Here is a 22,173-nt window from a genome sequence, read left to right on the forward strand (position 1 = left end):
CTGGGGCACAGTTGGAAGGGAAGCTTTGGTGGTTACCTGTGTTCTTCCTTTTTAAAGTAGAACTTCAGTGATTTCAGACAGAGAGTTCTAACACTTACGTGACCTCCAGATTGAGTGATTTCTACAAAACACAGGCCCTCCACCAGCAAGTGCTGAGCCCCTATTGAGGGAGCCAGCACGGGACTAGAGACTTCTTCATATTCATTCCAGTAGCTTATAGCACAGTGACGGGCAGATGCCCACGTAACCATGGGGCAGTATGATGCATGATGGTGTGTAGCAGAGGGGGCAAGGCCAGGGAGAGCTGGCAAGGGCAGTGGGAGGGTCCCAGGGATGTTGACAACCCAGGTGGGTTTGGAAGGATGAATTGTATTTACCCAGAATAAAGTGTGGAGGAAAGGGGAAGGCCCAGAGGGTACAGAGGAGTATAGAATATTTAGGAGGTAGCAGCAGCTTAGCATTACTCTCAGGAAATGAGTAATCCATATAAGAGTTGAAACATTAAAGCCTACCAAATGGCTCACTTTTGAATATCAGTGTAATACGAGGACTTTACTGGAAGACAGGGAAGGTAAGGGTGAGCTGTGTTCATTGAGGGAATGTTTCATGCAAGTCTAGAACTTTCCCTAGATCTTACAACAGTAGTTCTTAGGTTTTAGAATTATTGATCTCCTGGAAAATTTAGTGACAAACTATGGATGCTCTTTTGGAAAATGTGCACATGCATATGGAAATTTGCCTAAAATTTTTAGAAGTTTGTTACACCTCTTCTCTATCCCCACTGCTATCCCATACACCCATCAAAGCCCAGGTTCTCTAGTTAAAAATACTGGCCTAAAATGTACCCTTAAGTGGAAATGAGAAGAACTCAAGTGTGGTTAATAGTCTTCTTAACTAATAGCTGTACTTTAAAAGTTGTTTTATTGGTCAACTGAAAGTTGAATATAGAATAATTTAAACCACTTTTAAAAGTTAGCTCTCCGTTAATGTTTTCCAGATGAATACTTTGCTGGTGGCTTACACTCATCTTTTGATGATCTTTGTGGAAACTCAGGATGTGGAAATCAGGAAAGGAAGTTGGAAGGATCCATTAATGACATTAAAAGTGATGTGTGTATTTCTTCACTTGTATTGAAAGCAAATAATATTCATTCATCACCATCTTTCACTCACCTCGATAAATCAAGTCCTCAGAAATTTCTGAGTAATCTTTCAAAGGAAGAAATAAACTTGCAAAGAAATATTGCAGGTAAAGTAGTCACCCCTGACCAAAAGCAGGCTGCAGGTATGTCTCAGGAGACGTTTGAAGAGAAGTATCGTTTGTCTCCTACCTTATCTTCAACAAAAGGCCACCTTTTGATACATTCAAGACCCAGGAGTTCCTCAGTAAAGAGAAAAAGAGTATCACATGGCTCCCATTCACCTCCGAAGGAAAAATGCAAGAGAAAGAGGAGCACCAGGAGATCTATCATGCCGAGGCTGCAGCTGTGCAGGTCGGAAGACAGGCTGCAGCACGTGGCGGGACCTGCCCTGGAGGCTCTTAGCTGTGGGGAGTCTTCATATGATGACTATTTTTCACCTGATAATCTTAAGGAAAGGTATTCAGAGAATCTTCCTCCTGAATCTCAGCTGCCATCAAGCCCTGCTCAGTTGAGCTGCAGAAGTCTTTCTAAGAAGGAGAGAACAAGCATATTTGAAATGTCTGATTTTTCCTGCGTTGGCAAAAAAACCAGAACAGTTGACATTACCAATTTCACAGCAAAAACCATCTCCAGTCCTCGGAAAACTGGAAATGGTGAAGGCCGTGCAACTTCGAGTTGCGTGACTTCTGCCCCTGAAGAAGCCCTAAGGTGTTGTAGACAGGCTGGGAAAGAAGACGCATGCCCAGAGGGAAATGGCTTTTCTTACACCATTGAGGACCCTGCTCTTCCAAAAGGACATGATGATGATTTAACTCCTTTGGAAGGAAGCCTTGAAGAAATGAAAGAAGCGGTTGGTCTGAAAAGCACACAGAACAAAGGTACCACTTCCAAAATATCAAACTCCTCTGAAGGCGAAGCCCAGAGTGAACATGAGCCATGTTTTATAGTTGACTGTAACATGGAGACGTCTACAGAAGAGAAGGAAAACTTACCCGGAGGATACAGTGGAAGTATGTGAATCTCCTTTTCCAAGTCACCTTCGCTAAATAAACATGTAACAGTGCATCCATATTTTAAATTTATCACAACTTTTTCATAACTTATTTCCCCATTTACTCCTCTTTTTACTTAAAGAATGTGCATTTGATCATTCCAATGATAAACTCTTTAGGAATAGATGACTTGCTGTCTTGTGGAACTTCTAGACTTATTGGTTAAGTCTGTTAGGAATCTATTTCTCCAAGACTTTTCCTTCTTATAGGTCAAAAGGATAAGTAGTCCATAGTATGAATAACTGAGGGGAGTGAAGTCTTTTTCCTTATTCCATTGGAGTCTTGGCGCTGCAGCGTGTGTAAAGATGTATACGATAGAGAGTTTTTTAAAACCTAGGTTCTTAATAGTGAGGCTATTTAAAGAAAGAAATTAAGGTAGATTAAGCCATCGATTGTATCATAGAGAAAGTGTGAAAAACTACTTTTAGAAATCTGTTGTCAATATTGATTTTTGAAGAAACTTTGGTCAGTGTTAACTATGAAGAAACATTTAAACATTTTTGATCATTTGTAACAAGCCTTGTTTAACTTGTACTTATTTTGCTTGAAGCATCACTTGAAAAGGTTTACTCCTATTCATAATTTAATTGTAATTATAATAAACCATATCATTTTATTAAAAGTCAAAACAATAAAAAATTTTGCACTTCACAGTTATAAGCACAAATAGGTTCCAGCAACCAAAATTGAAGAAATCTTGAACTTTGACCGTCTTTACCTAAAGATTAGGTTAAAATTTGAGTGAGAACGCATTCTCTCTGCATGATTTCTCTGCTCTACAAATGTTTTAACTGCCTCTTTGAAGGTGGAGAAGTCATGGTAGCGTTTGAAATCATCACAGACATGTTACATACCTTTTCCTTGAGTATACGCTCCCCAAAATTGTTTCACAAAAAGAATGAAAATAATTTTATGTTTTTGGCCTGCTATTTATATCTTGGCTTTCTGAACATATATTAAATTTGACAAGAAACTGTATTTTATGTTCCATTAGCCTTAGTATGTGTTTTCAAAATATTTATTTTAAAATGTTGACTCAAAAGTTAATATAAAACAATAGATGTGTAAAATTCTTTGGTAGTTAAGAATATCCTGTTCTGAGGTTTACATTCTCCATCTTTCCAGTTTTCACCTTGTGTATTTTTTAAGCTTTTGAATAATAATGACATGGAAATGTAAATTAAGTAGGAAAAAGCTGGTAGCAAACAGTGTGGCATGGCCTAAAATCCCCGTGTTGCTGGGAGTGTGCTAGTCCTCGGAAGCAGGTGTGTTATGTTCTAGAACACTGCCCCCCTGCGTCGACAGCCTCCGGGGTTGGGGGTAAGTAGAAGGGGGTGAGGGGCCAGCACTAGTTGACTCAAGGCACCCTGGTGGGGACGGAGAGGTTTTTTCGCTCAGTGGTGCAGGCCATCAGGCAGGGGTGTCCAGGCAGGGCCCGGGTGCAAGAAAACATTCTGTGTGCGCTAGTGCGAGAGGATCTTCTACAGTCACCTGCCTTCATGCCATTACAGACAGACGGGAAGTCACTGGGTTCTAGGACATAAAAAGACCTACATGTTGGCTAGCCTAAATCGAACCCTTTTATAGTAATAAAGATTCATCAATGTTTTAAACTGTCCACTGTCAGCCCCCTGGGACTCAGGTGAACCAACTCTCTTTGGGAATCTATCTTAGAAGATGAAACCATAAAGCCTTCAGTTTCAATGTCAGGGATGCACACTCTATATCTGGTGAAATTATGGAGGGGTGAAAACTTCTGTACAGCAAACTGTACCTCCAAATCTTTAATGTCGAAATAAAGGGCTTTTTGCCATTTCTGTTTTCAGTTCACTTTTACTTGTTGCTGTTGTCAGTATCTAAGATACAGTGTAAAAAAGGCTTCAAAAACAAGTTACAAAGAGCTTCAATACGCTGATAGAACGGGAACTGAGCGAGAAACAATTTTGGTTTTGTTTTGTTTTGTTTTTTAGTTTTTTTTGAGACATAGTCTCGCACTTGACGCCCAGGTTGGAGTGCAGTGGCACAATCTCAGCTCACTGCAACCTCCGCCTCCCGAGTTCAAGCAAGTCTCTGCCTCAGCCTCCCGAGTAACTGGGATTACAGGCACCCATCACCATGCCCAGCTAATTTTGTTGTATTTTTAGTAGAGATGGGGTTTCACGTCTTGGCCAGGCTGGTCTTGAACTCGCGACCTCATGATCTACCCTCCTCGGCCTCCCAAAGTGTTGGGATTACAGGCGTGAGCTACCGCGCCCGGCCAACAATTTTGTTTTCTAAAATCTTTAAAATCATTAATTTTTTTCTTTTTTACTTTTTTATTCTCTTAATTTTATAAACAGTACACAGATACATTCCCATTGTAACAAAGATTGCTAAGAAGACTAGAATTTCCATCTCCTCACTTGCCTCTTTTCACTAATTCACTTCCTAACTAATGAAAGACATGCACCCGTTGTGTCTCAGGTGCTCTTCAAGTTTGTGGGGACATAGAGAATGAAGCAGCGTGCACCCTCATAGAGGAAGACAAATAGTAAATAAGTGTATAACAATGTCAGCTAGCAAGCAGTTAATGATAAAAAGAAAAACAATACTGCATTGGATAGATAAGGTGACCAACGAAGGCTTCCCTGAGAAGGTGACATCCGATCACAGGCCTGGGGAGGGAGAGGGAGCCTGTGACTCTGTCAAAATCCATGTTTCAGCTGGAGGTAACAGCAGGAACAAATGTCCTGATGGAGGAAAATGCTTGCAGGAACAACGGGGAGGCCAGTACAGCAAGGACTTCCTGAGCTGCAGGAAGGAGGTTGGAGAGGGGTAAGAGCCAGAGCTTTGGGACCTTCAGTCTCTGACAAGGCGGGCAGCTGTTTTGTTTTGAAGTGTGATGAGAAGCCATTGGGGCTTTTGAACAGGGGAGCAACCAAATCTGATTTAGGTTTTAAATGTAACCATGGTCACTGAAGAACAGACTGTGGGTTGGAGTGTTTGTCTGCACGAAGCAGCCACTGTCCACAGTTTAATATTTCCTTCCACACATTTCTTGTGTGTGTGTCTACAAGCATACAACTGCAAATAGATATTTTAAGAGAATTTTTTGCATGCATAGAATTATATTGCCTTAAAAATTGCTTTTTACAAAAGCAGTATGTCATATATTTACATATTGGTACCAGTAAATCTTCATTTTCTAATAGAGCCTATAGGTAGGGTCAGCACACTTTTTCTGTAACAGATCAGATAGTAAGTTTATTACGCTTCATGGGCAAAGAGACCAAATCGAGGTATGTAGGTACTCATGAGATGATTACATAATGAGAAAAAGACATTTTCCACAAAATTTTTATTGACACTGGAATACATTTTTTTTTGTAATACAGGTCTATTAATGAGAAAAATAAAATAATTTGTGGTGGGGGAATAATAACATTTCATTTAATTGGAGTTCAGACTGAGTGTTCCCATCACCAACATTGATTGCAAATGTTTATTAAGGCTGATTTGTAATAAGATAGATTTTACGTATTTCACTTTTGAAAATATCTTTTCACACAGACAGATACTGCTGATTCGATGTCAGTCCACAGTTAGATAATTTGCATTGAGCATCTTCATTGCTTAGAAGACGCTGATGGAATTCTCTTAGATTCTTCTCTCGATGCCTGCCTCTTAGCGTGTCCTTATATTGCAGATTCATCACTTGCAATTGAAAAATAGGTGGAAGCTCCTCAATTGTGCAGTTAAATGGGTTTTGAAATAGGAAATTCCGGCCAGGTGTGATGGCTCACGCCTGTAATCTCAGCACTTTGGGAGGCCGAGGTAGGTGGATCACTTGAGGTCAGGAGTTCAAGACCAACCTGACCAACATAGTGAAACCCCATTTCTACTAAAATTACAAAATTAGCCAGGCGTGGTGGCACATGCCTATAATCTCAGCTACTTGGGAGGCTGAGGCAGGAGAATCACTTGAACCCAGGAGACAGAGGTTGCGGTGAGCCGAGATCATGCCACTGCACTCCATCCTGGACAACGAGAGTGAAACTCCGTCTCAAAAAGAAAAAAAAAAAAAGAAATAGGAAATTCCCTTTGCTCTTGCACTCAGTCTGAAAAGTGCTGCTGTAGTTTGGGCTCAGGAAGTATGTCCACAGCCAGTTTGCATGGGAATGGAGATCTTCTTGTTTTAACCTCTGACAGCACAAGAGAGAATCGTTGCTTATGTGTGGAAATGTGTCCCACCTGACCCTTAGCACTGCCAATCACAGCTCTTCAACCACCGAAAGTCAGTTTGAATTGCCAAGTAGTTAAAGCCGACTGGTCATCCTGAACTAGTGCACAGCTTGGCTTCTAGTTGCTTTTCACGAAGGAGACACAGTTGTCCTATAGGTGCCGTGTGTTCACTAGCAAAAGCAGAAAAGTCCTTCCTATCTATACCCCACTTGTCCATGGGTTTGATACAGATTTTCTTCTTTGCTGTGTGTGATGGATTTTTACATGTCAGCACCTTGTACATACGTGTTGTGAGCTTATCTGAGCAATTTGGTCATGTCCAACTACCAGGGTCTTGTTCATCGATAATAGTCACCAGTTGTTGGAGGTCAATGATGGTTAACTACTCTTCTACCTTCTATCTACCAGATCTTGTTGAAGGCAAGTATCAGAAAGACATTTATTAAACATTTATTGGCAAGCAATTAGGAAGTGGTCCACAAATTGACCAATATGCTGAAGGCCCAGTTCTCTGTCCTTTAGTGCAGTGTCCATACTTTATCTGAAAGGTTTGCTGGAGGCAGACAACATTCTATGGGCAAGTTTCTGCAAACTTGCACTCAGCACCAGACCATCGTGTATCCTTTGACCCTGTGGTTTATTATAGGGTCATTTAGGGATTAAGCCTTGGATACCACCTCCAGGGATACCAGCCACAACTCATACTAGATGGTTATGCTCTGTTATGTGTGGGTATTGGGTTCCCCTGCAATATTTAAGCCAATTCAGTGTTCTTGAATCCATGAATTTAACCAATAAGAAACTGTTTCTCACATCCATTATGCTGATTAACAAGCTGATGATGTCACCGATAACCACTCATTTTTGTCATCCATTTTGGCTTTTAACAAAGCATCTAATATTGGGCTGGATGATTTACAGGAGTTGGGGTTTTTTGTTGTTGTTGTTTTGAGATAGGGTCTCACTCTGTCACCCAAATTGGAGTGCAGTGACATGATCGCAGCTCAATGCAGCCTCAACTTACTGGGCTCAAGTGATCCTCCCACCTCAGCATCCTGAGTAGCTGGGACTACAGACGCAGGCCACCACACTCGGCTACGTTCCCCAGGCTGGTCTCCAACTTCTGAGCTCATGCAATCTGCCCGCCTCTGCCTCCCAAAGTGCTGGGATTACAGTTGTGAGCCACTGTGCCCAGCCTATGGTATAGTACATTTTGCAAATTCTGAGCATTCAAGAGGAACTGTGAATTACTATTGTTGCAAATAAATAGATAGACATATATTCATTAAGTATGTTAAATTGTTGCACTTTTGACTCTTCAAATAATTCACAAGTGTATTAAGAACCCCCTTTCCCATAGCCTGCCAGCCTAACTCACTGGGGCTGCAAAACTAAGCAATCCTAGCAACTTGATGTGGGTTAGTCAGTCTTAACAGAAGGCTATTGACCACTTAACTGTTTGGTTGATTCATTCATTCATTTACATATTCATTTTTTATCTGTCAGATGTTTACTCCGTATCTACTATGTCCAATGTATAAACAGTGAGAGAGGTAAGGTTAATAGAAAGCTCTGTCCCTTGCTTTAAAGAACTTAGCTAAGTAGGGAAGGTACAGTCAAGATACTTTACACACAAGTATCAGGAAATTCAAAAGTCAGAGCAATTACTTTCAGTGGGAATTAAAATTGATATTGGAATGACCTCTACAACGATTACAAAGGATAAAATTCCGCATTATCTATTGAAGAGTGTTGTTTTTGTTTTTTTCAGAATGAACAAAGTGAACTTGATATTTTAATAGATGAATATGAATACAGTCTCGTTAGCAGAGTTTTACTTGTGTAGAACCCGTATAACTTGCATATATACCAAAGGTATCTCTGGAAAGGAATTTTTCCTAGGTGTCTTTTAAGATTCTTTCCAGTCTTAATATTTTGCATACTACATTGTAAAATAATTTCATATTCAAATTTTTGAAGCTTAGAAGACATTTCTCATTGGATAATGTTAAGTGTATATTTTTACATGTTAAAATTATGGATTATTCAGCCTTCAGAAGCCTTTTCAACCCTTGACTCTTGCATAGTGCATTGTAAGAGTAAATACTAATTGTTTAAATGTGTTATTAATATTAGCATTGTTAGTCTTAATTCTGTATCTTGGAAGTAGGAAAGTAGGATGTGGAGGAAAATAAATGTTAAAAATAAGAGTTATTTCTTCGGCCTTAGCTCTAGACAAAATTTGACACAAGCCAAGTTTCTCCTACAGTCTTTTCATCGTCCACTTCTTCATCTCTCCCTTTCCTAGTATTTAAGTTACATGTGTCCTTATACTGTCTTGCCCTGGATCTGGCTCCAAAGTGATCATATTAGTCATTTTCTTCTCTTTTCCCTCAGTATCAATACTTTTCCTTAATCTTGCTTATCTCTGTTGAGTAGCTGAAGGTTGTGATTTAACTAATTCACACTGAGAGGTGAGTGAGTGATCATTTACTAGCTTTCATTGATGTGTTTGCATTTTGATGGTATTATTAATCCAAACTAATTTCCAAATGGTGAAATTTCAGATAACTGAAAGATAAAAATGTGGGGTCTGTCAGATTCATTTCCGTATTTGATCATTTCGTGAAAACGAAGTCAATGAATTGTGTGTGTAATGAGGTTGGGAGGAAAATGAGAGGAAGATATATGGCTTTCACAGGGAAATGCTGTGGACCAAATTGTGTCCTTTGACCCCCACATTTATTTACTGAAGGTCTAACCCTCAATGGGATAACATTTGGATAGGGTGATCTTTGGAAGATAATTAGGTTTAGATGAGGTCTTGAAGATGGGGGCTTCATGATGAGATTAGGACCATTATAAAAAGACCAGAGAACTGGCTTCCTCTCTCTCTGCCATGTGAAGACAGCAAGAAGGTAGCCTCCTTCAAGCCAGGAAGAAAGCCTTCACCGGAACCCGACCATGGGGGCACCGTGATCTCGGCCTTCAGGCCACCAAATCTGTGGTATTTTGTTATGGTAGCCCCAGCCGAAGAAGACAGACATTCATCCAACTGGGGTGTGTTGGAGGAAGAGCAGCTAAAGAGTGCATGTTCGTTGGAATTTCTTGGAGACATTCAAAATAGATGTCCATTAGGTAGTTGGATATAGCCAGCCATACCTCAGCTGGGAGGTCTAGACAAGGTACAGAGAATTAGGTCTCTTCAGTAATGGACGACTTTATGGGAAGTGATGAAATCACCTTGGGGAGTGAGAAGGGAGCTGATGACAACCCATGAAAAAACCACACTTAGGAGCAAACACGAATAAAGAGTCATCCAAGAAGTGGGAGAGTCAGGAAGAGGAGGGTAGGTGTTTGTTTACAGACCTCCTGCCAAAAGTGGAGTCCAACTAATCTTTCCACAAATGTTTTCAGAAGTACTTTGCACTCTCAACTGCTTTGGGTTTACCGATGTCAATGTTAAAACCCACTGGCAAATTAGTGTGGCAGAGTTTATGAAATGTTTTAAATAAAATCATTTACTTAGATCATTTTTTGACTTCAGGATTTGTGAAATTGTGAAAACATGTTAACAATATCAGTCTTTTTTTTTTTTAATATCAGTCTTTCTTAAGTTTTAAAAGATTGTGTTGCATTTCTTAGAACTTTATGTTTATAAAATGCTTTACAGCCTGTTTCGTTGTTCGGCAAGAACTGAGGCAAGTGGCTATTATAAAACTTTTATTGAATACACTAGGAAGCTGCAAATTTATTCATGACTCAATAACAGAGCACTACGTCCCAAATTATATCTCTAGTCCACTGCTTTTCCGATTTTGACACACTCATGCTTCAAGTAAATATTTGTTATTTAAAAAGGAAAATAAGTGCGTAGTAGATATAATTAATAATTCTAATTATTTTTAATCTTAAAGACGATAGGAGATTGCATTCATGTTCTACCCCGGGGGATAAAGTGGGCCTGGGAGAAAAGTCAGTGCAAGTCAACCATAAAAGATACCTGAGGAGGTACGGGATCAGTCAGGATGTGACTGGTTTGAGTCTCGAGTGGATTCAGTATTAGGGATTATGGCAAAGAGTGTAGGTTGGTAGGTTTGTGGTTTAGAACTGGACCTTAAAATCTGTCCAGGGCCCAGGCTGCAAATAACAACTAGCTTGAATTCAGGAAAGTATTAACATTTTTATTCTACATCCTTTTTCACTGAGATAGGACCCTGTTTTTGAAAAGAGTGACAGTTTTTACCTTAGACTCTCCAAACTTAGTTATAGCTGGCTTTATAGCATTTTATCTGCAAAGAAGTCTTTCTCATGTTATATGATTTTTAATCTCTGAGGGCACTGATGTTAATTTCACGTTGCATTATATTTATTCATCTGCATCTACATTGTCTATTGGGTTGTGAGCTCCCTAAGTGTGGGACTATATCTTGTGCATTTTGCATCTCCAGTGGGTAGATGATTAGCTATTTGTTAATCATTAGGTAATCAACAGTGCAGTTTGGCTATCACCTGCCTGGCAGGTTCTAGTACCCCCTAGGCTGCTACATAACTTTTGCGTCAAAGTTTGCATTATACCATTGAGACCATGTTATGGTCCATGTTAGCTCCTCCTTCAAAATCCCATGTAAGTCATAAAGTAGGCAAACTGTTTGAAGGAGGAGGAAGGGTGAGAGTAAGAGGCACCCTCTGAGGCAGTAGATGAGTCAAATCAAAGTACACATTTCACATTTCATCGTGGGTTACTTAGGTCTACAGAGGTTAGCATCTAAGGAAACCACATTTCACTTGAATGAGTATCCTTTTGGTTTGTGTGTCTTCATGGCAAGACGCTGGTCTAAGGTGGAAACTTGGGGGGAGTAAAATCATCATCCATCATTTGTAGGTTGAAGCCTGAAGCTCTGTACTGAAGACTATTTTCTAGAAAATCTCAAACTGACCCCAAAAGTTAGATTAATTATTGCCTCTAATATGGAACTGCCTACTCTGAAGAGCTGTTCTTTGTCATTATTTTAAAATCTAAGAATTTAAGTTTGACGAGTGCGTAAGGTATGGGTATACATTTTCTTACATTATCAAATGGACGGAGTTGATGCTGTAGAACACTGTAACCTGATTGTTACCGACCATTGAATTAAGTGAATTGCTTGGGATATTGGAATGTAATAAACTGAAAGTTCTAGATAGATCTCAAAGAGCCAGATATATACAATTTATTTAAAAGGCCTATAACTTCCTGTTTCCATTATGCATAAATGTGATTTTTGTTTTGCTTAAGTTGTATTTGGTCCATGTAAAGTTCTAACTAATTTTTAATCCCCTTGGGTTTTAGGTGTTAAAAATAGACCAACAAGGCATGATGTTTTAGATGACTCATGTGACGGCTTTAAGGACCTCATCAAACCTCATGAGGAATTGAAGAAAAGTGGGAGAGGCAAAAAGGTCAGTGTGTAAAAATATTATTTTAAACTTTCAAATGCTGATACATCATAATGTTCTTCTCTGGGTCAATGAAACATAAACCAGTCTATCTGACTTGTCTTTTATTCTAAAAAATTGATTATGGGTAAATGCTGGAAAACTCAGAATATGAAACTGAAAGCGTTGTTTGCATTCCAGACAAAGAGTTATTATTGATAGAGCAAGCTTTCTCATATCACTTTGCTAATGCATTTCTTATAAAAATGCCTGTAGCTTCTCTCAAGCAGAGAATGTTGGTTGTGCCAGTGTTTCTTGCCATTTTATAATCGGAATAAATATTTACTAGGTAGGAGGTGAAGAATCCAAACATTCATTCACTTTTGAACTAACCAAGTCTTGACCTCAAGCCATCAGAGTGAAAGGTTTATATACTAACACTCAGGTACACCCTTCCCTTTGTGGTTTTGGCTTTAAAACCTTGCTCTTCCTCTGAAAGACTCCGCTGATCCTCTTACATGAGTAATAGAATGAGGATTTTAAATGTTTTTATCATTCAATATCTACTTGCATTGCTTAAATTTAAAATTAGCCATATATATTATACCTTGTGCCTCATTTTTATGAGGCCAAAAAAGTATAATGTAGTGAAACCTGAATTCAGAATGGTAGGGAAAAACCATACCGATTGAAAAGCAACAGATGAAAAGAATGACAGAGTAGATGGGTCTGCATGGGGCTTCCAGGTCCTGATACGCAGGCTTGAACAGATGGGCGGCTGCATTTGACCTGCGGAAGAGAAACCTGACTCCTTTGCTTCTTATCTTGGCAATGGTTAAAAGACATTTAAAATTACACAGATTTCATGAAAGTTGGCAGTAACTTGTAGAAACTTAGATTTCTTTACTGATGCTTTCTGGTTTGTCTCGGAAAAAAAAGTGGAGCAAGAAAATGGAAAGGAACCCTATTTCAGGTAAAGCAACAGATGTGGAGAGAGAGAGACTGTCAGGGTCCCATAACATGTTTGTGGCGTGGGCAACACCAAGGCACCTGCTCTACAATGGCGTTGCGCACTGTGACTCCACTGCAGCCTGCGGGACCTGCTCAGCGCGCTGCCTCCCAGGGGTGGGGCCCTTCCTAGAACGCTCGCAACACTGTGGCTGAGTTTGTGTTTTGCGTCCCAGTTTCTCAGTCTTCTTCCTACTGCTACATGGCCGCTTGACCTAGTTCATTTGGAAAGAAATAAAGAACCAGTTTCCTTTGCATCTACTACCGTTCCCGTGCCTCTCCTGCTGATGCGTCGCATGGCACCACAGCTCTGTTCTGTGCCCTCCCGCTTTACTGACCCTTTACCCTCTGCCAGTGTCTGCCCAGGGAAGCCGTGGTACCTCTCATCTCTATTGGTACTCTACGTTGTACCATGTCTGGCTTTTTTTTTTTTTAAGTGCTCAGTAAATATTGAGTGTTGAGTTACTTGTTACTCACCATAAAAATACTCCGTCCTGTCTGATCAAAAGGCATGAGGTTTGACTTTCTCATTTGCCCACAGTGGAAGTTACTGTTTCAGACGAGTGGTATTGCCTCCCTGTGCCTGGGATAGCCCTGAATCTGATGGGCTGGGTCTGTGGAAGCACTGGGTTAGGGACAGGCATCCTGGGCGGGAGTGTGGCCCCTTCTTCCTTATGAGGCATCTCACTGTAAATGGCATATGAATGGGAGATGGGTACCTGTTTGACCTTCTGGCATTCTTCTGTAGATCAAATAGTAAGTGCTCCATAAATATAAGGTGGTATTACTGTCTTGAGTAATGATAAAAGAATGAGTGGTCAGAGAGGGAGACAAAATACACAATTACAAATACACACCTCCATATCTGCCTTCAACTGCTGTGCTCAGGAACAAAAATATTTTCATATATTAAACTGCCTAACTTGCTCAAATTTAAGTCTTCTTTTAAAAATATTTTAAGAGTATTAGTAAACTTTGCCCTCATAATTTAGAATGTCATTTCTGAAACGAATCCACCACTTCTGGTTCTGTGTGAAGAATCACTCAAAGCAGGTTTTAAATGCAGATTTTCTGGGCCAGTCATGGTGGCTCATGCCTATAATCCCGGTACTTTGGGGCGGGCGGATCACTTGAGGTCAGGAGTTCGAGACCAGCCTGGCCAACATGGCAAAACCCTGGCCAACATGGCAAAATCCCGTCTCTACAAAAAACACAAAAATTGGCCAGGCCTGGTGGTGGGCACCTGTAATCCCAGCTGCTCAAGAGACTGAGGTGGGAGAATCACCTGAACCCAGGAAGGGGAGGTTGCAGTGAGTCGAGATCATGCCACTGCACTCCAGCCTGGGCGACAGAGTGAGACTCTGTCTCAAAAATAAATAAATAAATGCTGATTTTCTGGCCCCACCTGAGACCCTCCTGGCCAGCAGCTCCCGACCCCAGTGCGGCACCCCGTCCTTAACGTGGAGGGGACGAACACCTAGTGAGGGCGAAGAATCCACCTTCTGTATTGCGTCTCGCCAATAGCAGAAGGAGCAAGACCTAGGTTTCCCCTCTTTCGCAGGATTTTCTTCCTAATCCAGTCCTTATTAGTGTTCACCGCACAGCCTTTGCTTGAATGAATCAAAAACTCCTAATGCCCTAGGGTAGTGCTTCCTGACTGGGCTGCGCATTGGACTCACCTGGGGATCTGTAAGGTTTGTGGCTGCCTGGCCCCAAGCCAGACATGCTGGTGTCATTAATATGGGGTGCACCCTGGCCACTAGGATTTTTTTAAACTCCTGAGGTGATTCTAATGCAAAGCAGAGTTTGGAAACTACAGCCTTGGGACTTTTAGAATTTAAACAAGTAATTTATCCTAGAAGAAGTTTCATTTCTTTATAAACATTTCTCATGTAAAGTTGTTTCATTTTTAGACTCTAAAATTAAAGACCAAGGCTTAAAGTCCTGATTTGCGGGCTGGGTGCGGTGGCTCACACCTGTAATCCCAGCGCTTTGGGAGGCTGAGGTGGGCAGATCATGAGGTCAGGAGATCAAGACCATCCTGGCTAAGACGGTGAAACCCCGTCTCTACTAGAAATACAAAAAATTAGCTGGGCGTAGTGGCGGGCGCCTGTAGTCCCAGCTCCTCGGAAGGCTGAGGCAGGAGAATGGCATGAACCCGGGAGGCGGAGATTGCAGTGAGCTGAGATCGTGCCACTGCATTCCAGCCTGGGCAACAGAGTGAGACTCCTTCTCAAAAAAAAAAAAAAAGAAAAAAAAAAATTCCTGATTTGTTTGCTTAAAGGTTGAGTGAGTGTTTTAGGAGCGCAAATTTGATAGCAATATAGATGAAGGACGTGTTTTATTATTTTACAGGTTAGAAGGAAGAATGATATAAATTTCTTAAAAGGTAACATTAAATTTATTTTATTTTATTTTATTTTTCTGAGATGGAGTATCACTCTGATGCCCAGGCTAGAGTGTACTGGTGTTATCTCGGCTCACTGCAACCTCCGCCTCCTGAATTTAAGCGATTCTCCTGCCCCAGCCTCCTTAGTAGCTGGAACCACAGGCACCCGCCAGCACGCCTGGCTAATTTTTTAAGTTTTTTGTAGAGATGGGGTTTCACCATGTTGACCAGGCTGGTCTCGAACTCCTGACCTCAAGTGATCTGCCTTCCTTGGCCCTCCCAAAGTGCTGGAATTACAGGCGTGAGCCACAGCACCTAGCCAGCAACATTAAATTTTAAGTATATAACTTCCCAGTAGTTTGAGATCTTTTGATATGAGCATGGGGAGAGAAGTTTATGTTGATATGTGGTAATGAGTCCACAGAAACACTAAAATTTAGTTTCCTGGTTTTAAAAGTATACAGTGGAATTGTGGAAGGATTGAATTGGTGAATTAAAATTAGAAGCTTCTGAGTAGCAGCCTACAAATATAATGTTAGTATCTCAACCATTCTTTTTTTCCCATTAAATAGGTTTTACCTGCTTATTTTGTTCCTTGTTAGATTTCAAGATAAACTGTGTTAAACTGAAATTTGGAACTTAACACGGCCTTTTTTGTTTGTTTGTTTGAGATGGAGTCTCGCTGTGTCACCCAGGCTGGAGTGCAATGGCACAGTCTTGGCTCACTGCAACCTCTGCCTCCCGGGTTCAAGCGATTCTGCTGCCTCAGCCTCCCAGGTAGTTGGGACTACAGGTGCACGCCACATATTTTTATGTATAAGGACATATTAAGGTATTAGATTCTATTAAGCACAAAATTGTTTCTATTTCCTAAAGAAAACAAAATCTTGTAATTGAATATTAATGTTGAAAAAGGGAGAGTTTACAGGAAATATCTTTCACCAGCTAATGACTGAAGCAATGCCTCTACTAGAATGGAGAACAGTAAGGTCTGGGCCTGACATTTTTATGTTTTCACTTGAGAGCCAGCCTACATGCTATTTCTGTAGTGAGGAAAATGATTTGAAACTCAGATGTGTCCCGTGGCCCTAATGACTTTATTTTCTTTTTAGTTTTAAATCTGAAGTAGCACTTGCAGGTAATGTCCTATCTGGGCAGCCCTGCAGACAGGACTGTCAGTCGATGAGAGCTGTCAGTCGTGAGTTCTGAGTAATGTGAAGGTGCCAGGTAGAAGGTACAAAGGCAAGAAAGGTGGGAAGGCCTGGAGCCTGTGCGAAGAGCAGCACGGCCTTGGTGTGGCCCGGGGATGGATGCAGAACCGCGAGAAGAGAGAGGCTGACTTCAGCCACGGCCACGGGCTCTGGGGTTAGACTGCTCTCATCTTTGGTTTTCTGTAGGTTCATTGTGATTGTTGTACCAGGGTATTGTTTTTGTTGTTTATTTACTTGAGAGTCACAGGCCGTCCTGTCTTTGATCTGTTCTGGAAACTTCTCCACTGTGATTTCTTTTGCCTGTTTTCTCACGCCTCCATTGCTGGGAACGCAATCTCGTGTGCTATCCTTTGCTTCTATAGCCCATGTCTCATGATTTTCCTCTATTTCTTTCCTCTTGTATCTCCTTATTTCATTCTGGATGTCTTCTATTGGTTTCTTTTCCATTTCACCTTTGACTCTTTTTAAGTCTATTCTGATGCTAAATCCATATACTGAGTTTTAACATGTATTATTTTTCAGTCCCTGCTATTCCATTTATTTTTTTTAATTATTTTTTGTAGAGATGGGGGTCTCTCCACGTTGGCCAGGCTGGTCTCGAACGCCTGGTCTCAAACAATCCTCCTACCTCGTCCTCCCAGGGTACTGGGATTACAGGCGGGAGCCTTCATGCCCTCTATTTGATTTATAAAAACCATTTCCAGTTCTCTGTCAAAATTATTAATCCTATCTTTTATTTATTTGAACATATTATGCATATTTCTTTTGAAATAACTCCCTTTTCTGGCTCCCCTCAATTTCTGTTTTTCTTATCTGTTGTTTTCAATCATACGTTCCATATCTAATATGCCTGGTTAGTTTGTCTTTATCTTCCTAGCAGGGACTGAGATGATCTGGAGCTGGGGTTCTGTCTCTGTGAGGCTAGCTGTCCCCTGGGAGTGTGGGCTTCTGACTCTGGTTCACCTCCTCTTCCATGGGTTTCTTCTTCCATGACTCACTGACTTAGTAGCTGGGCAACGTCTGCAAATAGCTGGGGCTTGTTTGTTTGTTTGCATCTTGTCCAGCTTTTCTGAGGGCTCACAGTGAGGAGCCTATTTCAAACTACTTAGTCCACCATTCCTGGAGACGATGGGTGAATTTTAACGGCCACTTAACTTTTCTAAATAGAGTTTTGGTGTGAATGCTTCTCTGAGAAGACAGCAGTAAGAGGCCAACTCAAGAGAAATGATTTTTGAGATGAACACGTAGGTCAGTTTGCAAAAGACACACTAAACACCTGAATTGACATTAATTCAGTTTCTCTTAAAGAGTGAAAAAAACCATGATTCCATGAAGAATTATAGAATCTCAGAGCTATAACTTCCATTAGCTTTTTTTTTGGTGTAATGCCCATTTTTAATGGCAAAAATCACTCTATAAATCAGTCAGAAAAAGAGTCTGTTTTTTTTTAGACTTATTTTAAATATACTTGTTTCAAATTTGTTGAGACTTTTTTTTTTTTTTTTTTGAGATGGAGTCTCGCTCTGTTGTCCAGGCTGAAGTGCAGTGGCCCAGTCTTGGCTCACTGCAACCTCCACCCCACCAGGTTCAAGTGATTCTTGTGTCTCAACCTCCTGAGTAGCTGGGATTATAGGTACCTGCCACCATGCCCAGCTAATTTTTCTATTTTTTTTTTTTTTAATTAGTAGAGACAGGGTTTTGCCATGTTGGCCAGGCTGGTTTTGAACTCCTGACCTCAAGTGATGTGCCCGCCTCAGCCTCCCAAAGTGCTGGGATTACAGGCGTGAGCCACCACACCCGGCCTGGTGAGACTTTATTTGGAGGATCCAGTTAAGCAGTTTTATTACCTCTGTAATCTTAGCTTGCAGCATGTAGGTCATTGACATTGATAGTTATACATCTTTTCAGAGGGAGAAATAGAAAATATTATGACGAATTTTGACCTGTTTTCTTTGTTACTTGTTGAATATTGTCAGACACAGAACCCAAAGAAGCTATGTATAGATACCAGCACTCTGGTAGAAATACACGAATGTAATTTTTTTTTCTCCAAGTATTTGGTTTATTCTACTACTTCTGGATTTGGTTTTTCAAAATATTGATTATTATCCTCAGGAACATTTTTAATGTGAGTTATCAACAGGATAGCTTTTTGTAAGTGGCTCAGTTGTAGAATCTCATTTTGGAGCCATCTCTGCCAATCCAGCTTGTTGCATGTGAAGGCAAGCTGTGGGTCAGAGCACAGAAATGTTTACAGAGGCTTTCCTAAGCCTGGAGGCCTGGAGAGATGTGAAGGAACAAATAGAGCATACTTATTTTGATAGTGGTTTAAAAAAATTAAAGAATTACACACCACATAGAATGCTTAAATTCCTGAAAGTTTCTCAAATAGGGTGCAAAACAAATAATAGCTTGCATATGCTGATAGTTGCTTGTTCTTACATCTTTGCTAGAATATGAGCCCATAAGGACATAGTCTATATCCTGTTAGTCTCTTAATACTCAGCAGGATATAGCATCACAAACAAAATAAGTGCTCAGTAAATATTTTCTGAGTAAATAAGAGATGCATTAATTTCCCTTTTACTTTTTCAGTGAACATGTTTAAAACATTTTTGGTGCTCTTAACCATCACTCAGTAATGATGGAATCATCATCATGTACTTCACTTATTTTTGAATATTCTTCCAAAACTTGAGAGACTGTCTTCTTTCAGTAAAAGATGGATTCTCTTCTCCAAGGCTGTGCATGGCAGCGCAGTGTTGCTAAAGCATTGCCCCCAGAGCCAGATGCCTGGGTTCAGTCCCATCTCTGTTACTCACCTGCTCTGTGGGTTCCATGGTGTTGAACAAATTACTTAATATCTGTGCCTATACTTCTTTGTGTATAAAACAGGAATAATAATAATAGTACCAGTCTCCTCAAAGGGTTTGTGCTAATTAATTGAGTTGAAACATGCAAAGAGTTTAAGATAGTACCTCATATATAGAAGTGCTCAAAAAATGTTAGCTATTTTCTTCAGCACCAGCTTGGGTGAGGGTCATGTCTGCATATTGACTGTGCTTTGTTCTGCAGCTATAACTTGGAGTAGGTCTCTCTTACCTGCCTCCTCTTTGCCCACTCCCAGAGACCACCATGTGTCTTTAATGAAAATGACCCTCAAAACTCTGGGACAGTCCACACTGTGTTTCTTGTTGGACTTACTGACCACAGGCATGCCAGAGCCAAAATAGAGTCTTGGGCAGGGGGTGAGTATAGGAGTATAGCCTTTTCTAAAAGCTCCTTCAGTGATTCTGAGCTGATGGTCATCCTCCCATTGAGAACCTTTGTTTTGGGGGTGAGATGTAGGCCATTAGCATGAAATTGTGCTCTGTCATCTCCCCCAGGAGGCAGAAGACTGAGTTCTGCGGTCAGAAATGCCCGCTTGGGGGATCTGCTTCCTCAGTTTTCGAGAGATGCTTTCCTCATCTCCAGTATCATTAGAACCTTCCTGAAAGAACTGAGATCTTTGTGAGCTGCGATAGGGTACTCACAGCTGTCATTTATTGAGCATTGTGACCTCTTTTTAGATTGAGTTTTCTATTTCTCAGTCATATGGAAAGCTGAAAAGAAAGTATATTTCAGAGAGCTCTAATCATGTCTTTATTGCGGAGGCAGTAGATTGGGAATTACAGCTCATTTGGGTGTAGCATCCCCAGAGAAGGAGCCTTGCAGTGGAAAGAAGATAAAAGGGTCCCAGTGGTGGGAATAAAAAGAGTACTAGATGCCCAGAGGGTGGGAAAGGCCTAGCCCAGATGCAGTGTGGCCAGGCCAGCTAGGGGCAGGAGGAAAGAGAGCTGCAGGGACACAGATGCCTTCCTGAGCAGAGAAAATAGAATACTTGAGCCAATTTTCATGTAAAATGGATTATTTTCCTGGCGTTTCCTGTCCTTCAAGTAAAAGGTTCTGGAATGAGTACTTCACTGCTGTAATGGAGACACTAATATTTTATGAATGCAGTTTTACAGTTTGCAGTAATGCCAGGCCTTTGGCTGTTTTCCATTAGATGGTGCACTTGGCTGGAAGCATATACTCTTGTAGCTTTGATTTTAAATTTAACTTTCAAGTTGAAAGAGCAGTGACTCATCCAAAGGACAGGTGATATTTATTTATTTTTTCTTGAAAATGCAGCACGGGTATGTTGTTATCACACGTTTAGGGGAATTGCCACACTTCCTCGAGGATGACACCCTTTGTAAATATCCATGTAAATCATTTCCATTGTTCAGACCCGCTGTACGCAGAAAGATAGGCCCTTTAGTGCCGACCAGCCGGCCAGTGAGCTCTGTAAGATCGAAGGTGCCCTTGGTTTCCAACACAGCTGTTTCAGTGATCTGTAATTGCTTTGATAAATCACTTTTGGCAGAGTGTACCCAGAGCTGGCAGTGGCGGGGATGTGCTCGTTGTAACAGGTGTGGGGTCCATCAGCAGATGTTGCTTGATGAAGCCATTTAAAAAACAGCTGCCTCTTGATAGCCTAACAGTTGCTTTCAGCCCCCATTAGCACGTTGTTTTTTTCTTGTTATGTATGAGAGAAAATATTTCTACAGAAAACATTAAATAGGATCTTCAAAGAACTCCATCTTTTTAAAAATGTGTTTTATTTGTTCACTAACTGATTTTGCATGCATTGTAAATGTGTGGTTCAGAAATTGTCAAATGTGTTTTGGACTGGACGTGGTAGAAATGAGGACCAGCCAGGGTGGATCTCCTGTGCCTCAGTGGTCGTCTTTGGCCACGTAAAGGTAGAGGCCACCGACGGAGGACATTTCCCACTGGGAGACCCACAGGCGCTAAGAGAGGAGCTAGCCGAAGAAGTCTATTTAAGATCTGCTGCTTTGGCCAGGTGTGGTGGCTCACGCCTATAATCCCAGCACTTTGGGAGGCCAAGGCAGGTGGATCACCTGAGGTCAGGAGTTTGAGACCAGCCTGGCCAACATGGGAAAACCCTGTGTCTACTAAAAATACAAAAAATTACCTGGGTGTGGTGGTACACACCTGTAGTCCCAGCTACTCGGGAGACTAAGGCAGGACAATCACTTGAACCCAGGAGGTAGAGGTTGCAGTGAGCCAAGATCATGCCACGGCATTCTGGCCTGGGCAACAGAGAAGATTCCATCTCAGAAAAAAAAAAAAAGAAAAATTCTGCTGGTAGGCATTCTATGCACTGAGCAAAGGAGAGATGTGGAGGCCCAATTTAAATAGTTACAGCTGCTAGCTCCTAAGGTCTATCTTACTATCTGCACCGTTTGCGGGGAGTCAGCTTAATGATAGTAAACTGTGCTAAATGGGTCTAGAAATATCCAATTAATCTGTTTGAGATATTCGGAAACTCAATAGCTTGCTGAAGTAGCAAACTTGAATCCTTATTTTTATTTTAAAAGGGAGTAAAGGGACTGTAGATAAGTAAAAGATGCTCTGCACTGCGCCTCTCTGGTACCAGTCCCTCTCGTTTAGGCAGCGGCCACTTCCCGCGGAGCTGTTCACGCCAAGTGACCCTGCCACTGCGCTGCTCCCACCACCCCATGTCCACCCCGTCCTCGGACGCCTGGTCTCAGCACATCACCGGTATTCTCTTCCTCTTACCAGTAATTAGTTTGAGACTGTGACTCACTTCTGTCCAACAAGATGTGAAGGGAAGTCTTCCTGGGAGGTTTCTGGAAAGCGTTCTCTCACTTGTGATAGCCCTGGGA

General features: G+C 41.2%; 1 protein-coding gene across 19 annotated transcripts in view; it reads left to right on the top strand.

Moving 5' to 3' along the window:
• The window catches only part of MCPH1 (microcephalin 1), a 241,882-nt gene that overhangs the window by 36,769 nt on the left and 182,940 nt on the right, over positions 1-22,173 (top strand). For 14 of the 19 annotated variants that reach the window (NM_001322042.2, NM_024596.5, XM_017013833.3 and 11 more), the window contains exons 8-9: positions 998-2,152; positions 11,748-11,857. In NM_001322042.2, coding sequence (NP_001308971.2) covers positions 998-2,152; positions 11,748-11,857 — 1,265 coding nt within the window. Of the gene's footprint in view, positions 1-997; positions 4,008-11,747; positions 11,858-22,173 lie in introns of those variants that run through there. The other 5 variants (NR_136159.2, NM_001172574.2, NM_001172575.2 and 2 more) reach the window with 1 other exon arrangement.

This window comes from Homo sapiens, chromosome 8 (assembly GCF_000001405.40).
Source record: "Homo sapiens chromosome 8, GRCh38.p14 Primary Assembly".
NCBI lineage: Eukaryota > Metazoa > Chordata > Mammalia > Primates > Hominidae > Homo > Homo sapiens.